General features: G+C 38.0%; 1 protein-coding gene across 22 annotated transcripts in view, besides 2 other annotated features; it reads right to left on the bottom strand.

The window, feature by feature from the left end:
* L3MBTL3 (L3MBTL histone methyl-lysine binding protein 3) overlaps window positions 1-25,787 on the bottom strand; it is a 122,858-nt gene that overhangs the window by 13,547 nt on the left and 83,524 nt on the right. For all 22 annotated transcript variants that reach the window (XM_047419407.1, XM_011536184.3, XM_047419410.1 and 19 more), the window contains 2 exons: window positions 23,317-23,466; window positions 6,934-7,013 (listed from right to left, as the gene is read on the bottom strand). In XM_047419407.1, coding sequence (XP_047275363.1) covers window positions 6,934-7,013; window positions 23,317-23,466 — 230 coding nt within the window. The remainder of the gene's footprint in view (window positions 1-6,933; window positions 7,014-23,316; window positions 23,467-25,787) is intronic.
* Window positions 9,402-9,491: a silencer, noted in NCBI's record as "silent region_17538". NCBI's record gives its function as "represses an Ori minimal core promoter by ATAC-STARR-seq in GM12878 lymphoblastoid cells {active_cell/tissue: GM12878}" and the evidence as "EXISTENCE:reporter gene assay evidence [ECO:0000049][PMID:35858748]".
* Window positions 12,866-12,995: an enhancer, noted in NCBI's record as "active region_25054". NCBI's record gives its function as "activates an Ori minimal core promoter by ATAC-STARR-seq in GM12878 lymphoblastoid cells {active_cell/tissue: GM12878}" and the evidence as "EXISTENCE:reporter gene assay evidence [ECO:0000049][PMID:35858748]".

Here is a 25,787-nt window from a genome sequence, read left to right as displayed (position 1 = left end):
TGTTCTATAATAAACGTATTATTTGGATAATAAAAGTTATATAAACTAGCAGCAGGTATTAAATAAACTACTTAATGTTACTAAAAAAAACAAAAAAATGGAAGTCTCACTTTGGTGACTTGGAAAGCAATTTAATGCACTTGTGGAACTATATCATTAAAACAACATCAATCGCTGGGTCTCGTTAATATCAGAAGAAAATGATAGATGGGAGTAATAGTAAGAAAAATAAGTTTGTGGATCTTTGACTTCATTATTTCATCCCTCTAAAAAAGCAGCAAACAAGGATGTTTTTTAAATGTTGATTCTTAGTGATAAAGGCCTGCCTCTATTGTTTACCATATGAAAGTTCTTCATTCAGCAATTATTTATTCAGCACTGTACTGTATCAGAAACTTGAAGGCTATATAAATACAGCATATACTTGCAGACTTTTGTTAGGCTACAGAGGACAATGACCCAAAATGTGGCGCTTTGGCATGCTAAATGCTCTGAATTAAAGGAAACTGAAAGACCTCAGAAGTAAGCCTCAGAAGCAAGGTCTCCCTTTGACCTTCCCCCATGCCCTGGTCTCTCTGTTCCCTTCTTTCCCACGTGCAGAGAGAAGTTCTCTAGAATTTCCTTATCTGACTAAGAAAACTTCTTTCCAAAAGAAATGCTATTGCCAACTTAGAAGTCTCATCAAATAGCCAAGAAAGATTTAACCACTAAAAGTCATCACCATGCTCAGAGAGACTTTTCATCTATTCTTCTCAGGGCAGCTCCAAGAGATTACCCAAGAGACATTATCTACATAGTAAGACCAACATTTGTTCACAGTGAAGTTCTGCTCCTCACCTGCCTGCAACCTCCCACAGAACTCAGAGAAATTTTGTCCCAGGCCATTGTTCTTTGGGCTCATTCATTTCTCCTGAAAATTATTTACTACCCCTCACAACTGCCTATACCAATCCCACCCCCATTCTCCTTTCTTCTATGAAAAGGGGTCACAAGCTTCAACCATTGGACTTGAGTCTCATATTTGCAGGACTCCCACGTTTATGCACATTAATACATTCTGTATGCCTCTTTCTCCTATTAATCTATTGTCAGTCATCTCAGTGAACCTTCAGAGAAGGCAGAGGGGAAGCTTACCCTCTGTCCCTACACTTTTTTGAAATGAAGTTTAATAAATAATAATGTCATTATCCAAAGTAGAAATCTGCAAATCAAATCTGCTCACATGCCTCTCATTTCTGGTTGAGTACAGGTATTAAAATTCCTGATTTGGCTTAGGGTAGAAGAAAGTGATGCAGAGAAAATACCTTTGTAAAAAGACTTTTCAAATAAAGATGATCCTGAAATAAACATCCTCTGGTGTTTCAGGAGAAACAAGACAATAAATCTTCAATGAACACTACCTAAACCAAATATGAGGTCTTTTGGTGGAAAGAGACATCTCTAATACCATGGAGGGTAAGAACCTGCTTCCTACCAGACTGTTTCCATTAGGGCCCAACAGAACCATCATGTGGTAGGCTGACCCAGGAGGGCAAGTGCCAGACAAAAGGAGGTGAGAATCTGGCATGTTATAAAGTAGAATTCAGTTCTCTCCACACATGAGCCACCCAGGAGAGAGAGTGGCTGCAGAAGGGAAAACAAAACCATACCTTTCCCAGGAATACAACAATTTAAATTTGAAGGTCAAACTATTCAATTCTTTACTAATGGGACTTCCATAATGGTAGGAATGAGCTACTTATTCAGGTAGAGAAGACAGAAGCAAAAAAAGAGAGGGAGGGAGGGAGGGAAAGAGGTAAGGAGGGAGGGAGGGAGCGAGGGAGGGAAGTATTGAGTTAAAGTCCCCAAAGATCAAATTCAGTAGCATAGCAGGATTCATCCCCAAAAGCTCATAATTACACATACTCTACTGTACTAAACACAATTAACAGAAGAAATGGGTGGGGGGGAGGGAAATATCCTTTTTTAAGAGGGGTGTGTGTGTGTGCATGCGTGTCTTTTAAATCAATTTGCTCCTAGACTCAAAACAGGCCTCATGGACCTACGGAGTCTTAAATCCTCTTGACATTGTAAAGCAACTTAGGGTGGTTTCTCAAGTCTCCTCTAGAATAAATGCTACCCACACTGCAAGGGGCATTCTCTCCCAACCCCAGGCCACCCCAGCCAGGCTAGGTTTGAAAGGGCTGCTTCTGCCACTGGAGGAATGGAAATGAGAATGAACACTGGTGGGCACCTGTAGGTTCACTAGAGGGCTCCAGAATGGAGCACATCTGTCTGACCTTCAGCCTTGGGTTTGAAAGAGGAATTGTGCCAGGACTCAAATGGGAACATTAAGCATTTAGTGTTCTTCACAAAAGACCTTGGGAAAACTTCTCGGGACGCAAAAATGATCAAACAGAAAACAATTACCATGGGGCCTCTGATAAAAAGTTCTAGAAAACATCAGAAGAAGAGCACTGAGTTATAGACAGAAGAGTTTCATGACGTTAGCAATGCACAAGGGGAAATAAACTCTATAAAACAAAAAATAGGCTATGAAAAGAGAACAAGCCAATGTAGGAAATCACAGGAAAATAAGAGACACTGCTGTTAAAATTCATGTTAAAGGCAGTAAATAGCACACTCGACAGAACGAGAGACTGAGTGAGCTATTTCAACTTGAAAAACATGTTGACAACATCACAAAATGCCAAAGTTGTTAAAATATTAAAATACTTCCATATTGGTTGGCAATAGTTACTCCCCACCATGTAGTCAGTCCCTTGTGGGACTTCCCCAAGATCCAGCATCTAAGCATAACTTCTGTTACAGCACGGAGCCTCCAGGACCCCGCTCCAGTACTAAGACGACTGTTTAACTGTCCTGTGCCATGTTGGTTACCAAATGAGCTGTTAAGTATTTTATTTTATTTTTTTTTTTTTGAGATGGAGTTTCGCTCTTGTTGCCCAGGCTGGAGTGCAATGGCATGATCTCAGCTCACTGCAACCTCCACCTCCCAGGTTCAAGTGATTCTCCTGCCTCAGCCTCCCGAGTAGCTGGGATTACAGCCATGAGCCACCATGCCCGGCTGATTTCGTATTTTTAGTAAAGACTGGGTTTCTCCATGTTGGTCAGGCTGGTCTCAAACTCCTGACCTCAGGTGATCCACCCGCCTCGGCCTCCCAAAGTGTTGGGATTATAGGCGTGAGCCACCACACCTGGCCCCTGTTAAGTATTTTTGATATCATTCCTTGGGTCTAGCCCAAGAAGAATAGGTATTACCTTCAAGAAAGATACAAATGAAGCAGAAGTATTAATAATAATCAAAACTATAACTTAAGGAAGCTTTCTGGATTTAAGAAGACTGAATCAAAAAATCAAAAAGGCTCATGACTTCCCAGGCAAAACATCACAAAAGAAGGCAGAATTTAAGAGCCAGGTTCATTTTCAAAACCAAGAGAGTAGACTGAATTTAGGTGGCCTAATCTCACATAAAGGGATATTTTGGTTTGTTTCTTTTGTTTTGTCTGATTTTCCCTCAAAGAAAAACAGACCAAACATCTGGCTGAATATAGTGAATCTGTGGTGGGCCATTCTTTGCGCCCTTCAGAACCAGGGCTTCATTCTCCCTGTGGAATGCAGATGCTCAAAGCTGCCTCCCTCTCCCGGAACTGTCCAAAGCCAAAGGGAGCTTCCTTGCCCGAGAACATGTGCCCCTCCCAGCAAACATCCGAGGATTGGTCAATTTAGAGATACAAAAGCCTGGTTCCCTTGCCTGAATTTGGGATAACTCCGAACCGCCACCTGCACAACTTGTGGGATGGGCTAAGGCCTCTGCTATAACTACATCACAGCTCAGCTTCTCCGTCTGCCCAATCCTGCTTCTTTTGCTCTCTCACTGTTGTTGCTCCCAAGAATACTCACTAACAAACCTTTTGCACAAAACACTCTCGGGGTCTGTTTCCAGGGAACCCCATATAAGGCACTCAGCCAGGGCTCTATTAAGAACTGAGAGGCAGGAGGAAACCCACTGACTAGGCTCCGAGAGGTCCCCAGTGTCACTGAGAAACGTCTTCAGATACTATAAGCCTTGGTTTCGGACCAAAGCTCCCTGGATTTTAGGTGAAGACAACCAGTAAACTACTGGATGGTGCTATCCAGTACCGGACAAAGTGCTATCCAAATCTCTTTCATACAAAATGGTTCTTGAAAAACCATTTTGAAAAGATAAAAGAAATCTAAGGCTAAGAAAGATGTTAAAAGAAAGCCTAGAATCGTAACATATTTTCACTATAGATAAATTTTATGTTACAATCTTATTCAAAATGTTTCAGAAACATGAAAAAGAAGAAAAATTACATTGATTTTAGGAGGCTACAGCTGGATGAGACAGTAAAGGAGAACATTATAGGCCAATCTCACCTATAAAAATATGTGCAATAATTCTCAAAACAACTTATTTTATGAAGCTCTCTTTCACTAACAAAAAGTAAGACAATAAGCAAAACATGCACATTGAACTACAGGTTTTACAGGTAAAAAAACAATAAAAATAAATGACTTGAAAAATTACAAAATTAAGAATTATATATGACTCCTAGCAATGGTTCCTTGAAAGGAATAATAAAACAAAAACTTAGGCAATTCAAATCAAGAAAAACAGAAAGAAAAAAATTAGAAAGACATAAAACTACCAAATAAAGAAGAGAATACCATGCATAGTGTATGTTAATAAACTGGAAATTCTCCATTATGCAAACAATTTTCAGAAAGAAATTATGAAAATTGGCCCAGCAAATAAAATGGAAAGTTAAATAAACACTGAGTTAAAAAGATCGCTGAGAAACTAAATATGTTATCAAATTATTACTCCCTCAACAAGTTTAAAGCCTAGAAGATTTTATTATCAATCTATCTGAACTTTTAATGATCAGGTAATTCCATACAATAGACACTTATTCCACAATACTACTACTATTAATAAGAGTGAATACTCCAGCCACTGATGCATTTAATCCTCACAATAATCCAATGATATAGATACCATTACTACATCCATTTTACACAAGACGAAACTGAGGCACAAACAGGTTAGGTACTTTGCCCAGAGCTAGCCGCACAGCTAGGAAGTAGTAGAGCTGAGACCTGAATGAAGGCCATGCTCTTACCTCCTCTTATAAACCACCATTCACAAAGAAAGGCCAAAGCTTTTGTCTAAGAATTCAAAATAGCCCTGATAACAAAACCTTCATATATTAAATATTTTTCTGCCTTTTTCCATAATCAGAAACATTTTAAATAATCGAATACTTGCATAGCACTTTCTATGTGCCAGGCACTGTTCTAAGCAAGCTACAAATGTGACTGTACTTCATCCTCATTACAATCTTATGAGGGAGGTATACTATCATCATCCTCCTGGATAGACAGATAAAGAAACAGAAACACTCAGAGGTATGTGATGACATGTCTAAGATCACACAGCAGCAGGTGGCAGAGCAGAGATTCCAACTCTGACCATTTATAGGCTTTGTACACCGTGCTACATAAACACCATAAGGGGTGCTGAAGACAGCACTGACTATAACTTTTAAATTAATCATAAATGGTTGCTTTATGAAAATCAGATATGGAAATCAAAGCATCACTTATGAAATAGGTCACTGCAAGCAAACAGCCATCAGGTGCCATTCTCAAATCTTATAGTAATCTAAACAAAACTATTTACATGAAAAGCAAAGTCCCCAGGGACAATCAAAATCATAATCAGACTGACATTTTCTTATAAAAAATAAATAATTATTGTTATATTTGATTTATAAATACCATCTATACTATGACTAACAGTTATTACAACTTCATTGCTTAATTAAACCACTCGCTCTGTAGCTCAGACTAGAGTGCAATGGTGTGATCTTGGTTCACTGCAACCTCTGCCTCCGAGGTTCAATTGATTCTCCTGCCTCAGCCTCCCGAGTAGCTGGGACTACAGGCATGTGCCACCACACCTGGTTAATTTTTGTATTTTTAGTAGAGATGGGGTTTCACCGTGTTGGCCAGGCTGGTCTCAAACTCCTGACCTCAGGTGATCTGCCTGCCTTGGCCTCCCAAAGCAATATATTTTTAACAAAGATGTAGGACAAATTATTTCCTCCAATACAACTTAAAACATTGTTCAAGGAATTTTTTTTTTCATTTTGTGATATTAGATTAAGACAATATTCTATCTGGATTTCAAAACACATTCTGAATTGCGTTTTAAACACAGGAAGCAAATGATATCAACAATACTAAAGAAAATGTGTGACAAGGTCCTAAGAGAATGTCTTACCAAACTTTATGTACAATATTGTACCAATATGTGAGACTGTTAATACAGACCATAAATGAATCCATATAAAAAATTACATACTATATTGATACTAAACAATAAACTTTTGCTGCCTGCAAAAAAGAATAAGTTAACCAAACTTAAAGTTCATCTTTTGCAGCCATAAAAAAGAATGAGATCATGTCTTCTGCGGGAACATGGATGGAGCTGGAGGCTATTACTCTCAGCAAACTAATGCAGGAACAGAAAAAAAAGTACTGCATGCTCTCACTTACACATGGGAGCTAAATGATGAGAACCTACAAACACGAAGAAGGAAAGGACAGACACTGGAGTCTACTTGCCAGGGGAGGCCAGGAGGAGGCAGAGGATCAGAAAAGGTAACTATCAGGTACTGGGCTTAATTCGTGGGTGATGAAATAATCTGTATAACAAACCCTCATGACACGAGTTTACCTATGTAACAAACCTTCACATGTATCCCTGAACCTAAAATAAAACAATAAAAATAAAAAATAAAATTCATTTTTAACATAAAAGAGACTGTTGTATTCCAGTTAAGGCTTTGATTGTTTCATATTAGCAGTAATACACATTAGTAATATGAGAATTATTATGGCTACCTCTGGCTTCATGTGATGTTCTCATTTCACTTTCTGTTCTCTCTTCAAAGTCTTCTTTGACATCATCAGCATGCTGGTCTCTAAGAAAAACAGGCATTTCAATATTTTATAAGAGAAACATTTTAAAAAAATGGTTCAGAACTACATCTCAACAAGTGCTTTTCCTAATTTTAAACCAAAGGATGCTACTAAAGTGTTAGAAAGGATATATAGTTCTCCTACAAGGCAATTAATTAATAACACCTATAAATGCCCATTTTCCTCATTATCAATTTTCATTTCCTATTCAGGAAGAAGATTTAAAGCTAAAGATAATAAAATGAACTATTCTGGAAAATGTAGCTATTGAATAATTCAACTACAATTTGGGACATGTATTCATGTGGAATTTTACTTACACAGTTTGGTAAGACTTCTATTTAAAGAAAGAAGACGTTTTGGAAGTCCACACCATTGAACTAAATCACTATATACGACTCAGCACTGGGATTTGGATGGAGGCTAAGACTGGCTTGGGGGAATCAATCCCAATTCTAGGAAGCTTTTCCTGGCTTAATCAGGTCAAGTCCACCCGCTGAAGTGATTTCACCTCTTTCTGACCAGGAGTAACCTAATGCTAAACTAAACATGCCAGAGATGCTCCAAAATGGAATAGATCCATTACAGTCTTAATTCAGAGCTTTTCTCCTTATGTCAAGGGCAAAAACGGGTTTGTTTGTTTTTTTAAAAAAAGGAACTACTTTTCTTACGTTTCAGGGACTTAAAATTTTTCAACCTAATGTATTCCATTCTCAGGGTTCACAATAAACCCCATTTTGCAATTTCTTCTATCCAGAATATGCTATCTGGCCTACACACTTTAGTGCTTTATAGTATTCTGTGTTTATGATGTGCTACTGTTTCATACATGCTGTTACCGTTACAAATATACGTGAGTTTCTTAAAGATCCAGAGCATACTTCTGTTAAGTTTTAATAACGGGGCAAATACATTTGAAACAAAATATCCCAACAAATATAAAAGGAGTTCTATAGTTTTAATTACAAAGGCACTAATTGAGTCTCCATTTGAAAATATAATAATTAACACAATGACACTAACACAGTAAGCATGCAATAAATACATGTTTTCTATTTTTACTGCTATTTTTAAATTATGTATTGTTTATTTGTGATTATCCTGTGAGGAGATACTATTTTTAAGAAAGATCATTTCCAGGAGCAAATGCAAAATTTCATTTGAATCTGAACTCCCCGGCTTAGTTCATGCTAAAGACAACTTGCTACAACTGCTGAAGTATACTTGCTCTTTTGAAAATGGGGGAGAATCATTATTTTTTTTTCCAAGAGAAATCAATTAAATGGCAACAGGGTCTCTTATTCCACAGAAAGTAGAAGGATGAAGCTACGGTAAAAACAAATGTAAGAGTATCACTGATAACTGGAGAAAGAACATTAGTTGAAGTATTGATAAAAATTGTGTTTTCTATGTAAAAATAATGCTGCAGCTATGCTTGGTAATTACAACATGTTAAAATTAGCTTACCATGCTAAAATTAACTTCTATGAACTTCCAAATTTGTTTTATATTAAATTGGAAATAATATTGAGTGCACAAATTCTATCCCAGAAAGTATTGTGGTCAACAAATAGTTTGTAGATGGCTATATCAATTATTATTAAAAACCATACACTACAGTCATATAACTTAAAATTGGCATTTCCCAAATAAAGCAAATTTCCAATTATTGTGGCTTTTCTAGAAGCTCTGATGAGTAGTTGATATTTTTTTTTTAAATAGAGAGAGAAACACCATGAGTCCAAAAGCTAAAAAGTCAAAATTTTCTGTATATTTCAGTTTTCAGGATCACAATTATCCACCAATAATCAGCAGTTACCCTTTTGTGGATTTATTAAAGTATACTATTCCTTTAAAATAAGCTTTGTTAAAATAAAGATAGAAGACTTGAGCTATGAAAAAAGTTCCCTTGTTTTCTTATGCCTGAATACAATGACAATTACTTATTTTCTGAACTCCAAGAAAAAGATCACTTTCCAAGAGGGAACAGAGATAGAATAAGAAAGTAAAATCTTTGACCCAAAAAATTTCCTCATACCTGGATCTGACATAACCTATCCCAAAAGAGAAGCAGAATGGAAGCTATGTAGTCTTACATAATTTATGTTGCTTCATTATAGAAGCATGTTCAGTTTTCACTGTCCCAGTTTTAACTCATGACACTTCATTAAATTGGACCCATACAAACCTGGGAATATATAAACACAGATATGTATTTTTACCAAACATGAAGAACTCCACAAAAAATGTTTATTGAATGTTTTATTTCAGGTTAATGTATTGATTCTGCAAATTCCTTCAAATTAAAAGCGCCTATACCCCTGAGGTTCTATGTGCTGTTTCCTTTAGCTAGAGAGTGGAAAGGTGGAAGACGGGGTCAATCTGCACAGTCTCTTAGAACAGGCATTATGAAACAGATGGGTGAATAGAACCACTGGAGCGAGCAGAATCTTAATCGAGCACATCCAGACATGTGGAAACAGTTAATATTAATAAGAAAAGTTCACTTCTTAAGAACACAGTATGAGCCAAAGACTGACTGAGCTTTTTACATGCCCCATATTTTATAACACGCCTTGAAGGAAGGTTTATTACTATAGCCACAGAAATGTAGAGAAGTTAAGACTAAATTCACAGGGCGAGTATAGCACCCGTTCTTCTTGACACCAAAATCTGCAATTGGATTCAATCGTCTTTTATTTTTACACTTGTGTTTTTCTAAAATAAAGTATGATATATGAAGTTAAGGGAAACATGCTTTTTGTGCCATAAACTTATTCTCCAAATTGTCTTTCATTGATAAGGTCAGGAATGAAGAGACTGACTCTGTATTCTCATTTGTTTTACATTTTATTTAAAATAAAAATTGAGGCCAGGCACAGTGGCTCATGCTTCTAATAACAACACTTTGGGAGACTGAGGCGGGAGGATTGCTTGAGTCCAGGAATTCGAGGCCAGCCTGAGAAACACAGTGAGACTGTGTCTCCACAAAAAAAAAAAAAAAAAAAAAAAAAAAAGTCAGGCGTGCTGGCATGCGCCTGTAGTCCCAGCTACTTGGGAAGCTGAGGCAGGTGGGTCACTTTAGCCTTGGAGGACAAAGCTGCGGTGAGCCATGATTGCACCACTGCACTTCAGCCTCGGTGACAAAGTGAGACTGTGTCTCAGAAAGAAAAAAACAAGAAAAATTGTTTATTCAATTGGACAACCATTATTTCTCTCTACTATAAGGTAGAATTTCATTACGCAAATTCTGGCTGAATATGCACTGTGATGAATCTTTCTCTACACAAAAATGAAATCCTTGTTCTAGAATTTCAACTTCCTAAGCAAAATGTTATTTTAGCTACATAGTCTTCCAATTACAGACAAAATATGATTATATCAGAATGCCAAAACTCTGGGATAATGTTACAGTACACTCTGGAGCAGAGTAAAAGATATGCTTCTTGACAGATTTGCGGCATTATTCACAATAGCAAAGACTTGGAACCAACCCAAATGTCCAACAATGATAGACTGGATTAAGAAAATGTGGCACATATACACCATGGAATACTATGCAGCCATAAAAAATGATGAGTTCGTGTCCTTTGTAGGGACATGGATGAAATTGGAAATCATCATTCTCAGTAAACTATCACAAGAACAAAAAACCAAACACGGCATATTCTCACTCATAGGTGGGAATTGAACAATGAGATCACATGGACACAGGAAGGGGAATATCACACTCTGGGGACTGTGGTGGGGTGGGGGGAGGGGGGAGGGATAGCATTGGGAGATATACCTAATGCTAGATGACGAGTTAGTGGGTGCAGCGCACCAGCATGGCACATGTATACATATGTAACTAACCTGCACAATGTGCACATGTACCCTAAAACTTAAAGTATAATAAAAAAATAAAAAAATAAATAAATAAATAAATAAAAAATAAGAGGAAAAAAAAATAAAAAAAATAAAAATGACAACCAGAAATATTTTCATGCTATATTTTAATACCACAATTATTGTCAACCTAAACATTTCCTGACCTGCTTTCCTTGATCAACATTTTTCATTATCAACAATTTCGTTTCAAAAGAGGGTACAAGCTGCTTAGGCGCAAGTGTGCGATTTTTTTTTTTTAAGAGATAGATCTCACTCCACTGTCCAGGCTGGAGTGCAGTGGTGCCATCATTAGCTCACTGTAACCTCAAACTCATGCTCAAGTGCTTCTCCAGCCTCAGCCTCCCAAGTAGCTGAAACTACAGGCATGCGCTACCATGCCTGGCTAATTTTTAATTTTTTTGTAGAAACAGCGTGTCACTATGTTGCTCAGGGCTGGTCTGAATTTCTGGCTTCAAGCAATCCTCCTGCCTCACCCTCTCAAAGCATTGAGATTACCCACACTGCAGCTGGGTGCATGAATCTTAACATGGAGGAAGCAGCCCAGCAATAGTGGTTACACATATGATCTTAGGAAGTGAAGAGATCTGGTTTAAATTTCAGTTCTGCTACTCACTAGGTTTACACGACCATCAGCAAATTACTTAATTTGTCTAATTCTCAGTTACATCATTGGTAAAACAAGGATAATAAATCCTTTACGTCAGAGGGGCATGTTAAGAATGAAATAAAATAATGTATAGAAAGCACTTAGCACAGAGCCAGGCACTTAAGTAGGAGCATGATGCACAGCAGCTATTCCTAGTTATAAATTACTTATATTGTAGGATAAAATTATCTACTGACACCTGTTGTCTTTAACTAACCTTTCTTCAACTATTAAAATAGCTTTTAGAGTAATGGTTCCAAGCACAGACTACAGTCAGACTGTCTGGGTTATAACCCAGGTCTGCTACGGACTAGCTATGTGGCCTCTAACCAAAGGAGGTTCCATGTTTGTAGAATGAAGGTGTGATGATAGCAACTACACCACATAAGGTATCATGAAGATTAAATGCACCCACATAGGTAAAAGCACCTAAAAAAAAGTGCATGGAAAACAGCAATTTCTCTTGGAATTTCAGAATTTTCAAGAAGCCATTTACTGCAATATTTCTTTAGTTGCAATTCAATACAATTCAATTCAATTCAATACATTTCAGTTGTATTGAATGGAAATACAATCATAGTGAAATCTTACTCAAGAATACTTTTGGTTTTTAATAAAGACAGTGGAATCCACTTGAATGGAAAAATGTATTCTTTATGACTCAGTATTTTCTTTTTCTCTGTAATTATGTGTCACTTTTTAGAGGTCTTACTGTCTTAATCTAATTATGCTTTGTGATAAATATTAGTAAAACAGACATTAGAATGGTAAATGCATAGGATGGCAGTTGAATATGTGCAGCTGTATTTCTTCAAGTCTGTTTGTCATATAAAAACAATTTCTAACCAATTACGTTTCAATTAGTTCCAGTCTGTTAAAAAATATTGAAAAACAAATTATTTTGCCCCAATTTAGGGATTTATCGATTTCCGCCACCTCTTTAAGTCCAGCAGGAAAGGAGGCAGATGCAGATTGCCATGTAGATTGAAATATTTGCCAACCAGGTTAGGAAGCTCGGATTGACAGTTATTGCTGGCCCAGCATCAGAGACATGGCTACCTTGCGGCAGCTCAAGTGTGAAAGTTCACTCCTTAGTTTGGCTTGGTTTAAAATAACGCCACCCTTCTCTTTTCAAAATAGCTTATTCTAGTCTCATGGGGCCTTTGCAGAACTGAAAGAGACTTGTACTTCCCCAGTAACAAGCGGGGAAGATGACTACCAGAGAGCTCTAAAAAATGTAGTTTTTCTGTTTTGGCCATCAAAAGAATGTCTCTTTGCATGCTCCCAGCATTTTTTTTTTTTTTAAGTTTCTGAGCTGTGACTTACTCGCAGGTAAAAACATAAGGGAATGAGAATCTCCACATTCTCTAAAGAAAGTTTAAAAGAATACTTGAACTGCCTCCAAAATGCCTCGTACAAATGAAGAGCGACTGTACTTGAGGAGCTTCAGGTCAAGGAGATCACCACCTTCGAAGGGATTCAGAAAAAGATGGCAAATAAAACCAGTGGGACTTGGGACTAAAACTTCTGCAACTATGAGTAACATTCAAATAAAGAGTTTTTAAAATTAAATTCCTTTTGAGATGATACAACAGCAACGGTTTTACTGAATTATGTTTTCATAAACATCACCCAGGAGAGGTAAACATGGTTTACTGTGTATCTAATGAATAAAAACATTTTGGTTAACAGGCCTATTTAATTATAATTTAGCATAAGGACCATACGCTAGTGAAAGAATACAATAAAAGGAATATAATGAATAAATGAGGTGGGTATTACCAAGATAACAAGGAAAAACCCTCCAGAAAAACTCAGCAATTAATCCTCTTATTAAATGAAAAGCCTTAACGAATAAGGTGAGGTTTGGGAAATAAAGATGATGTCTCTTAAGAGTGAGACTCTATTACTTTGTTGTTGTTGTTGTGGAAAAGAGAACAGATGTCACCGCTTTTCTACTCTACAGAAAAGGGTTTCCTGAGTCAGAAATTGGTGATATTCAAGGAGATAGAGTAAGATCCTGTTACAATATTGTTCCAACAACTTCACAGGCATATAGCAATAACACAGTCATCTTATCCCTGCACTTTGAATGGCTGCCTTGGTGTCACAGTGGTTGGCATCAGAACTGTGAGTGTTTTAACTAAACACTAAGCTACTCTTTGGGGTACATAAACAACTACACAGATTTAACTCAAGTTCTCAAGAGCTAGAATAGGAAAACACTTCCAGAGCTCCTAATTCATACCTGGAAGCCCATCAACAAAAAGGGAGAAGAGGTTTTACAATAGCCAGAGAATGCCTAGTCATTGAAATTACTTTCGCCGATATTCAACATGAAGCTCTCGGCCCAGAAGACCTCATGGGGCAAAAAACCAACTTCCCAAGGTTTACTAATTAACTTTTGTAATCTTTTAGAATGGTTGGCTCTAAATTGATTTTATTCTATTTGATGTGATAGTTTTGCAAAGCAAATAGATTTATATATGCTTTTAGCTTCATACTTTATGTTAGCTTGCTTTCCTATCTGTTTAACAGGGTACAGACTCGGCTTTCGGTGTGACTAGCAAAATTGGATTCGTGCTAAAAATATAAACCAGATTGATGTCTGCAATTCTTGCAACCGCTCTATGTAGTTCTCATAGTGGAAACACTGGTCTTACAACTTGAGAAGCCATTTTAATGGCCTATAATGAACTGAACAGACTGATTTCTGCCATTAGACCAGTTAAGCAGTGGGCATTTGCCTTGCAAGGTAATCTAAGCATTTGGCAGGCATTTTAAAGCTGCTTTATTGTGTTTCTGTGGCTGATGTTTAGCAGGCTTAAACAACATGGGAGCTCAAAACATTAAGTGATTTTTAATAGAGATAGTACCTAATTTAGAACACAATTATAAGCAGCTATAGAATAGATTTCATGAGAACAAGGCTATGTGGGATGGATGCCCGATGTTTCCCAACTAATAACACATTGTGAAGTATTACCCCTGAAAAGGGTGTTTTCATTCAGTAGTGATTCCCAAAGCCTGATTTATAGACTACTTGCATCTGTCACCTGGGAGGGCTGGTTAAAAAATGAAGATTCCTGTGCCTTCATTTTTATGAACACAAGAATTCCATTTCCTGAATGAGTACCTCCGGGAGCAGTGCCTCAAAAGCCACATTTTTAACAAGCATCTCAAATGATTCTGGTGCAAATCAAAGTTTGAGACCCACAGTTTTATTAAGACATACAGAGAAACACATATATTGTTTCACTCAGCTGTAGATATGCAGAGATTTAAGTTATCAGTCCCCAGGAAAAGCTACTCCACTCACTGGTAGAGCCCATGCCTCAACATCTTGCCTCTAGGAGCAGCGTGAGGGCAGAGATGAGCTGCCACTGTCCACAGTGAGGAAAGCATCTTTTCACAGCAAGCACTGGCACAAAAGACACTCCTCATACTTCTGATGAATAAATGGATCACTGGGATAGGATTGCATACTCACATTTCTGTCTATAAGGACCACGTACTCACATTTCTATCTAGAGGCACTGGGACTTCCCTTCACTCACACCCATTTGACAAGTCTCTGTAGGAAAAGAGATCCAAGCATTCGGCATACCAGGTGGATTCAGGGTGGGACCGTCTTAATATGGGGCAGAGCTTCCCGATGAGGATGCCCTGAATCCTAGGGTACAAATGTTCTGAGATACTGATCCCCACAGCCCGCTGCATCCCTCTCTGGTGACTGGTAGGCAGCCTCATCCATTTCTTTGGTGTTCGACACAAACATTGTCATTTCTGTGGTATCATTTTCTATGTGGGCCAGGAAACTAAACAACAACAGTTTGGGACATACCACTCTAATTAATGAGAGAGTGCAGGTATGTTTTTGGGGAATTTATCTCAACATTTAATAATCACTCCTTACATATCTGGAATGGTGATCTCACAGTTCAAAGTGTAGGAGTTTTAACTGAACAGAAATGTTATACAGCTATTGCCTCTTAGGTTACATAACTGATAGCTGTCCATGGAAGACAGATGGATGGTTCGAGGTCACTACTGCACGCAAGGGAGTGTGCTCAGGTTAGGGCAACTCGGAGAGTAAGAAAAGACATGGCCCCTGCCTTTATGGAGCACATCATCAAGCAAAGTACACAGAGGTGTTTACCCAAGAACGTCAACAGCATTGGGACGTGAGATGAGAAAGCATGTAATGAAGGACTTGGTCCAAAATCTGGATGATCAGATAAAGCTTCCCTGAGGAAAGGAGAGTGAATCTGACACCCCAAAGATGAGAGATTAGCTAGGAGATGGCACAGAGAGGATCTAGACAGAGGGAAAGGAGGTATCTCAGGACAGGGTGGCTGAAGCATAGGTTGAAAAAAGAGCCTGCAGAGACAAAGCAGGAGTTAGGCAGGGGCCAGATGACACAAGGCTTTGTAGGCCATGCTGAGAATTAGGGTCTTAATTCCAAGAATAACGGGAAGTCATTGAGTTTTGAGCAGGGGGACAGACACTCACATAAATATTTGAGTCTGGACTCCAAAGCTCTAGCCTGGCAGAATGTGGTGGGCTAAGATAGGACCTCAAATCTGAGTTTTAAGGAAGTCCCAGGGGATCTGATATGAAGCCAAATTTGGGAATGAGTGTGATGGAACATTAGCTGCCCATGGCTCTATTCTGAGCAGGTGACCTTTAAAATAATGTTATGACAGGAAAAGGACATTCATTCCTCACACTGTTAACTTATGCTAGTCCTATTACAAATAAGCTCTGAATCAAAAGCAACGTCAGCACATCACTCATTCTGGGGACTGCCTGGCATCTGGAATAGGCATTGGGTTGATGCCACAGCCCACAGCTTCACTTCAGCACACACCAGCCTGATCCACCTGTCTCACCTGCGCTGATTTCCTGCAGGACTTCCCTGGGCTCTGGCTGCTTGGCCTGCTGTGTGGCAGGGAGGATGTGCTGGGGAATTAACATGTACAGCCTCACTCTGGTTCAAGGAAATTGGTGTTTCAGTAGTTCAGCTCCCTCATCCCTATGGTGGGCTAACTCTGAGATATGCAATTTACAAGAAATTCCAGAGTTTTCCCAGCAGGTCTGTGTTCCTGCTGTCCATGGTGGTAACCAGCGTGACAACTAAGCTTTTTCTGGCTGTCTGCCCTTCCCTGCATCACTTCCTTACTTGCCTACTGATATTTTCTTGACCTACTAAGTAAACTACTTGCAATTAAATCCTTGTCTCAGAGTTTGCTTCCAAGGATGCAAATTGTCTCTTGTGTGGCAAAGTGCATTAAAAAAAAATCATAATGTCTGGCAACCAAATTTTAGTAAATTCTTAAGAAAAATGCAAAGAAAATTTGTTAAAATCTGAGTGGGAAATTACATCCAGGTGAGTAATGTGATATTAAGGGAATCTCTTGCTTGAGCAATCTATTCAAAGCTTAACTTAAGAATAGCAAAGAAAACTAGGTATTGATGGAACATATCTCAAAATAATAAGAGCTATTTATGACAAACCCATAGCCAATATCATACTAAATGGGCAAAAGCTGGAAGCATTCCCTTTGAAAACCGGCACAAGACAAGGATGCCCTCTCTCATCACTCCTATTCAACATAGTATTGGAAGTTCTGGCCAGGGCAATCAGGCAAGAGAAAGAAATAAAGCATATTTAAATAGGAAGAGAGGAAGTCAAATTGTCTGTTTGTGGACGACATGATTGTATATTTAGAAAACCCCATCATCTCAGCCCAAAATCTCCTTAAGCTGATAAGCAACTTCAGCAAAGTCTCAGGATACAAAATCAATGTGCAAAAATCACAAGCATTCCTATACACCAATAATAGACAAACAGAGAGTCAAATCATGAGTGAACTCCCATTCACAATTGCTACAAAGAGAATAAAACACCTAGGAATAAAACTTAGAAGGGACGTGAAGGACCTCTTCAAGGCGAACTACAAACCACTGCTCAAGGAAATAAGAGAGGACACAAATGGACAACATTCCATGCTCATGGATAGGAAGAAACAATATCGTGAAAATGGCCATACTGCCCAAAGTAATTTATAGATTCAATGCTATTCCCATCAGGCCACCAGTGACTTTCTTCACAGAATTAGAAATAAACTACTTTAAACTTCATATGGAACCAAAGAAGAGTCCATATAGCCAAGACAATCCTAAGCAAAATGAACCAAGCTGGAGGCATCACACTACCTGACTTCAAACTATACTACAAGGCTACGGTAACCAAAACAGCATGGTACTGGTACCAAAACAGATATATAAACCAATGGAAGAGAACAGAGACCTCAGAAATAACACCACACATGTACAACTATCTAATCTTCGACAAACCTAACAAAAACAAGCAAGCGGGAAACGATTTTCTATTTAATAAATGGTGCTGGGAAAACTGGCTAGCCATATGCAGAAAACAGAAACTGGACTCCTTCCTTACACCTTATACAAAAATTAAACTAAGATGGATTAAAGACTTACATGTAAAACCCAAAACCCTAGAAGAAAACATAGGCAGTACCATTCAGGACATAGGCATGGGCAAAGACTTCATGACTAAAACACCAAAAGCAACTGCAACAAAAGCCAAAATTGACAAATGGGATCTAATCAAACTAAAGAGCTTCTGCACAGCAAAAGAAACTATCATCAGAGTAAGCAGGCAACCTACAGCATGGGAGAAAATTTTTGCAAGCTACCCATCTGACAAAGGTCTAAGATCCAGAATCTATAAGGAACTTAAACAAATTTACAAGAAAAAAACAAACAACCCCATCAAAAAGTGGGTAAAGGATATGAATAGACACTTCTCAAACGAAGACATTTTGTGGCCAACAAACATGTGAAAACAAGCTCATCATCACTGGTCATTAGATAAATGCAAATCAAAACCACAATGAGATACCATCTCATGCCAGTTAGAATGGTGATTATCAAAAAGTCACGAAACAACAGATGCTGGAGAGGATGTGGAGAAATAGGAACACTTTTACACTGTTGGTGGGAGTGTAAATTAGCTCAATCATTATAGAAGACACTGTGGCAATTCCTCAAGGATCTAGAACCAGAAATACCATTTGACCCAGCAATCCCATTACTGGATATATACCCAAAGTATTATAAATCATGCTACTATAAAGACACATGAACACATATGTTTACTGCAGCACTATTTACAATAGCAAAGACTTGGAACCAATCCAAATGCCCATCAATCATAGACTGGATAAAGAAAATGTGACACACATACACCATGAAATGCTATGCAGCCATAAAAAAGAATGAGTTCATGTCCTTTGCAGGGACATGGATGAAGCTGGAAGCCATCATTCTCAGCATACTAACAAAGGAACAGAAAACCAAACACCACACGTTCTCACTCATAAGTGGGAGCTGAACAATGAAAACACACGGAAACAGGGAGGGGAACATCACACACGGGGGCCTGTCAGCGGGGGACAGGGGCAAGGGGAGGGAGAGCATTAGCACAAATAGTTAAGGCATGTGGGGCTTAAAACTTAGGAGATAGGTTGATAGGTGCAGCAAACTACCATGGCACATGTATACCTATGTAACAAACCTGCACATTCTGCACATGTACCCTACAACTTAAAGTAAAATAAAAATAAATAAATAAATACCAAATAAAATAAAATCCTCCCCCCACCAAAAAAAAAATATAGTAAACAAATGGTCCAGCCATTCATTTGCTCCTAAGGAATAAAAGACATATAATGAAACAAAGTAATCTATTTCTCTTTCAACAACACTAATAAAAACTAACATTTGGCCGGGGACATTGGCTGATGCCTGTAATCCCAGCAATTTGGGAGGCCGAGGCAACAGATCAGGAAGTCAGGAGATTGAGACCATCCTGGCTAACATGGTAAAACTCCGTCTCCACTAAAAACACAAAAAATTAGCTGGGCGTGGTGGCACACGCCTGTAATCCCAGCTACTCGGGAGGCTGAGGCAGGCGAATCCCTTGAACCTGGGAGGCGGAGGTTGCAGTGAGCCAAGATCACGCCACTGCACTCCAGCCTGGGTGACAGAGCAAGACTCCATCTAAAAAAAAAAAAAAAAAAAAAACAAAAAAAAAACCACCTAACATTTATTGAGGGCTTATGACTTATTAATCACTATTCCAAGAGCTTCATATTTGCATTTTTCATCTCATGTAATCCTCATAAATTATGAGATTCAAAGTGAAGAGCTATTGAGTAATTCATCAAAGATCATAAACCTAGCAAGTAGGGAAGCCGAGATTTAAATCCAAGCAGTGCCCCATGTTCCTAATCACCACATTCTGCTGCTCTTTTCTGGAGGAACAGAAAACACCATGGTGTTGCTCTTGCTGTGCTGGGCTTCAACCACTCACTCATTTGTTCCTTGGGCCTGCATCAAAGACAGAACTAATCTTCAGAGCTACATTAAGAGCTTAGATGGCCATGCATGCAGAACAATGGCAAAAAGCCAAGTGTTAAAGTTGCATGGGAGGAAAAAAACCCCTAAGAGAGTTTAGTTGCATCAACTTTCTACCTCCAAAGTTTTAGTGTCTCTCACTGGTTTATGTACCTTAAACTATAACTAAGACAGTACTAAACAGAAAAAAGGTTGGCATCACTGACAGCATTTGCTCAGGAAGATAACATTTGAGGAAAATTGCCAGAAGAAACAAGAACCATGCTTGTATAATGTATGGGACACCAAGTATAGCACCTAGAAAATGCTTAACAAATGTTTTTTTAATATATCAGTATTTATTGTCATTTAGTTTTACTTTTATAGACACTTTACAGGAATTATAGAAGCTTCAATGAAGATGAGATTACTTGCTACCTCTAGGTTTTAAGGCATTAAATTCTTTTTAGTTAAACAGAAAGCTCAGGATCCTCATAACCTTTTTTATTTTTCAACCTCTTTGTATACTGCTGATTTATCCAAGGTGGAACTGACTTACTGCATCCTGGTTATGTGGGAAGAAGAAAGAAAAAATATAAAACTCTAAATAAATAGTTAGAAAGTCTAAGTTGTAGCTCTTTTACATTTCCTACATATTAAAACTGTAGTTTTGGCCAAACCTGGTACAGAAAGTGAGTGAGTCAAGAAGATACAGTTCAACCTATGAACACCTCTACAGAGCACTCACCTCTGAACCCTTAAGAAAAAGACTCCAGGGTGTCTAGGGAGAGGTATCAAGTCATGACACTAGGACAAATTGGGTCCTACCACTGCTTCTCACTCCTGGCTGATCTCAGGCCAGAGGATGGTCATTGCTACTCTGCCAGTATCTTCTCAAGGGTTAGACATGGACACCTCTGATCATTTTCACAATAATCAAATGGGACACTTTGACATGATTAAGACACATGCATACACACAATTCAAAACATAAGATTACTAGTAATGTGGCATGCTCAGGATTTTCCTGAAAAGGAGGAAACCCATTGGGAAATGAGTGGAAGGGCATTTCTTTACCTCTTAAAGATATGTTTCCAGCCTTGGGTTACACTCAAAGTTAAGGTTTATAAGAGACCAACAGGAAGGGAGAAGGGCTCTTTGACCTCTTGGAAAAAATGTGAGTCAGGATGGAAGATGGGGAGCTTTGGAAGGGGAGGAGATGATTAGGAGAAGAATTCTAAGACCAGCGTTGCTGCATACCTCAATGGTAATCAAACTTCCTACCACTAACACCTTCTGAGTGGAGCCATTTCAGCAGATCACTAGCTCACAGGCTGCTTCGGACATTTTCATTTCTTGCTTGATTCCCAGGGCCGCAAAAAGGGGAAGTGGCAGAAAGGGAGGCTCAACTGACAAACTAAAGTACTGCTTTGCACATATACAGTGATATAGAGCAAGGACATACATTTCATTTTATTTTTGACAGTGGAGGTGACAATCCTAAGTGAGTCAATTCAAGGTCTCAGTGAGTAAAGGCTTTCATTGAAACCCCAGAGAGAGGATGGGAACTTTCAAACCCACTCATTTTTGCAGAAAAGTTACAAAAACAGTGAAAAGACAAGGAAAAGTAATGGCAGGTCAGACCTCATTGACTCAAAAGATGGTATGCCAAGTACTTGCACAGACATTATTTCATTTAATTATTAATAGGTAATAATTATTAGGTAATCAATAATTAGGTTTTAATAGGTAGTAATTACTAATGATAAGTATTAATAGGCATAGGCAAAAATATCATTTTAAAAATATTTAGACATGAAATATGTGCAATGGGTTATAAATAGAAAACTTTAAAATGTCTGAGATTGTTTCCTTGATCACAAATGCTGACCATGAGGAAGGCCCAGGACCACACGTGAACAGAAGACAGAACACCGAAACGGTTAGACTCATTATAAAGATTACTCTACTCTTATATGGATTTACAGCCAAAAAGGAATCCACAAAATCATCCAAACTAACCACTTCTTTGCTCTGTGAGAAGACTTTGGCTCCAGGTATTTGGACCAAGCAACCAGACAATTATTGAAAAACCTACAACAGGCACTACCAACCCTTCTGAGTATTCTGTTGATACTTTTTAAACAATAAACAATTTTTAAATTTTTTAAAACCAATTTTGAAATCTAAAGCGTATTCTTACCACCGTTTTAGTCAATGAACCCTGTATCTATAATCATGTCTACATGAGTTAATAACCGTTATATGTTTTAAAGTTAATTTTTTTTTTTTTTTTTTGAGACAGGGTCTCACTCTGTCACCCAGGCTGAAGTGCAGTGTCATGATCCTGGCTCACTGCAGCCTCGACCTCCCAGGCTCAAATGATCCTGGTAAATTTTTTCAAGTGACCCTCATTTTTGGATGCTGGGATTTGGTAAATGAGTTTATGTTATCAGTCGTGGTTTTAAGGATTTAAAAAACCATCACTGTTGTTAATACCAGAAGAAGTTGTAGGTGTCCCCTACTCCATCCAAAGGGTAAACTGCTTCTCTATAAAGAAAACAATCCTTTAGTTTAAATGCCATTACTCCTATGACAATGCATTGATTTAAATGCCCACTAGGTTCATCCAGAATAACGGAAATTATAAAATATAAAAATAAACTAGGTAGCCTTAGGTTTTAAAGTAATTCATAAAAGAGAAAGCCAAAACCTAAGTATTAAGAAATGTCTTTTTCCTAATCTGTTCTTTCTTTTAATAGCATCCTCAGTTAATATCAGGGAATGGATCACTTGCTTAAAGATGTATCAGTTTGGTTCTTCACTTAATAAACCACTGGGGTTAAACATTCCAACTCAAGTAAAAACTAAATGACTGGGCTTATAAAACAATTAACATATTAATAATTAAATGAAATAATGTATATGCAAGTACTTGGCATATAATGAGCACTAAAAGAAATAATGTCCATTCTTCACCAGTCCACTACTTTACTGATAAAGGTTGACTCTATGTAAGTATTGATCAATTCATGCAGAAATATTAACTGGTATGCAGTAAAATGACTGGAATTTCCAAATTCCTACCTCTAACACCAAGCAAATTAAAAAAAAAAAATGAGTCAGAGAAAAATCCTGCCTGATTTGGACATGCTTTTATCAATTCTCTAATTTTTTTTTTTTAAGTTCAAGTACTGATCTCTACCATCATTTCACATTAAGTCAGGTGTATTTTCAACAATCTCCAAGAAAACATTGCTATAGGAAATAAAATATCTAAAAGATAAAAAATCTCTTTAAATTAGAGTACTTCTAAACAATGCTAATATTAGCTCTTTGATTACCTGATTTCAGGGGAAGAAGAGCTTTCATTTGCATCTGTCCTTTTATTTCTTGGAAATGACGGACTAGCCGGAGGCATCTCACCACTTAAGCGGTCTGGAAAAATACGGTCTTTATTCAAATTGATTTCTGAATAGGGACAGTTGGCAGCACTAACAGATTAAAAGAAAAGAAAAAAAAAAGAACATTGAACATTTCCATTAGGCCATACTTCTTCCAATTAAAATGACAGGATACAGAATATAAAATTCTAAAATTTAACTGAATATGTTATATTGTTATATTTTATAATCATACATACAGCATATTTTATCTTTAAAACATAACAAATATATACAAATAGGAAATAGGTTTTTACACTAGACTTTAAGAAGGAATCTGTTGCAATCTTCAGAACTGAGCAAGAGTCACTGAAGGATTACCTCTGTGCATATCTCTGGAAACAATCAGCCCCAAGAAAGAAATGCTTAAGACATCATTCAGGACAAAGGTGGGAGAGAGACTGATTGATTGGTTAATGGAGCAGATTTGCTTCTGCTTCCTAAGGGGATCCTCCAGGACCAGGGCAGTCACACGCTATTTAATTTCCTTTTTTAATAGTTATTACCCTCCAAAGGAAGGAGGTTTCCTCATGGGCTGTTCCCTGTGTTCAGGTCTGGACCTATGCCTGATGTTCTAGAAAATACATGGATCAATTTGTAGCTAATCTTGTTCATAAGATGAAAAAGGACCAGAGGCCAACTTGGATAATGATGCACAGAGCTCATTTCCCTTCCATTTGTGACTACCAGTTGGTCTCTCAGGTCTCATTTGGTGATCATTCCTGAAAGGAAATTGAGGTCACTCACTGTTAATTCACCATTAGTATACTCCTGTGCCCAGGTCTTCAGCATTCCAGTCTCTGAAACAACTGGGCAACTGCTGTATCTCAGACCCCAATATACATGGGCCTCCCCAAATAACTGCCTATCTTGCCTCTCTGCTTTTGGGAAGCATTCTTAAATCTGGAAATGGTTTGGGCCTTAGGTAAATTACATCAGAATCTTCTATGTTCTTTTCTTCAGTGTAGATGACAGTGAGAATGTTGATAATCACCCAGGGAAAATTTTTAAACAGTGTCTAGCTACCCTCTACCAAGAGAATCTGATACACCCTCCTAGGAAAAGGAGGGAAGAGTTAAAAGGGTTGCCAGGTGATTCTGATAATGGCCTATAAGATATATCACAGATATCTCATAAGCAAAAATTCTAACTTTATTTTCTTTAAATACTGCTAGTCTACACTGGTATCTATCCAAAAGAAGAAAGCAAATAACATCTGATCATGTGCTGACATAAATTTATATAATGTTAGCTTAACATCAACAAAAACAAAAACCAGTGACATTTATGGAGCACTTATGATATATCAAGCACTGTGCTAAGTGCTTTACATGCAATATTTTACTTTATCTTGCCAACATCCCAGAAAAAAGCATTTCATGCAACAAATTAAAGCTTACAACAGTTAAGTAACTTCAGTCTTTATTTCGTTCATTTATTCAAGAAGCACTTATCATGCATTTATTATGTGCTAATTACCTTTCCAGGCATTGGAAACTCAGTGGACAATAAAAAGACAAGAAAGCAGCTCTCTGGTTTCACGGAGCTGATATTCCAGGGGGAGATCGGCAGTACACAATTATACACATAAATTAGATAACTTCATATGGTGATAAACACCATGAAAAAGAAATACCATGATATAAAAGAGGGTGTGAGGATGCTATGACGGAGTGGTGAGGAAGGTCCTCCTTGGAGAAGAAGCACCCGAGCAGAGCTGTAATGGTCAGGAAGAAGATCCGTAGGGAAACAATGTGGGAAAGAATGTTCCAGGGGATGGGAGGAGCAGTGCCAACAGGAAAAGCTTGGTTTGTTTGAGGGAAAGAGAGACCAGGGTTGGCTAGAGTGTGATGGGGATGAGATGAACCGGGAGAAGCAGGCAGGCAAATATCATGTAGAGCCTAGCAGGCCAGTCAGGACTTTATATTTTTAGCAAACATTACATCTGAAGCTGATGGAAGATCTTCAAATAAGAGAATGACAAGGTTTGATTTACAATTTTAAGGATTACTCAGGATGCCTTTTGGAGAGAAGATTTTAAAGACAGAGAAGATTTCAAGGGACAGAACTGGAGCAAGAAAAGTTACTTAAAAGTTATTTCTCTTTTTGGAGAGAGGATTTTGAAAGCAGAGAAGATTCCAATGGGACAAAATTGAAGAAAGAAAAGTTGTTCAAGAGTAAAGGTATGACGTAACTTGGATTTGTGTGGTTGAGATGGGGCAAAAATGAAGAAGAGAGTCACAGTATCCTTTGTCATCCCAAGAAGACCTGTGGATGGATGGGAGATGGGAAGCAATGGAAAGGAAGAGTTCAGGAATGGCCATTTGGTTTTTGGCTTGAAGAACTTGGTGGTAACAGAGGTGCCTTTTTTT

Source organism: Homo sapiens, chromosome 6, assembly GCF_000001405.40.
Source record: "Homo sapiens chromosome 6, GRCh38.p14 Primary Assembly".
In the NCBI taxonomy this organism is placed as follows: domain Eukaryota; kingdom Metazoa; phylum Chordata; class Mammalia; order Primates; family Hominidae; genus Homo; species Homo sapiens.
Note: the sequence above shows the minus strand (reverse complement) of the source record. Positions and strands in the feature narration are given on the sequence as shown.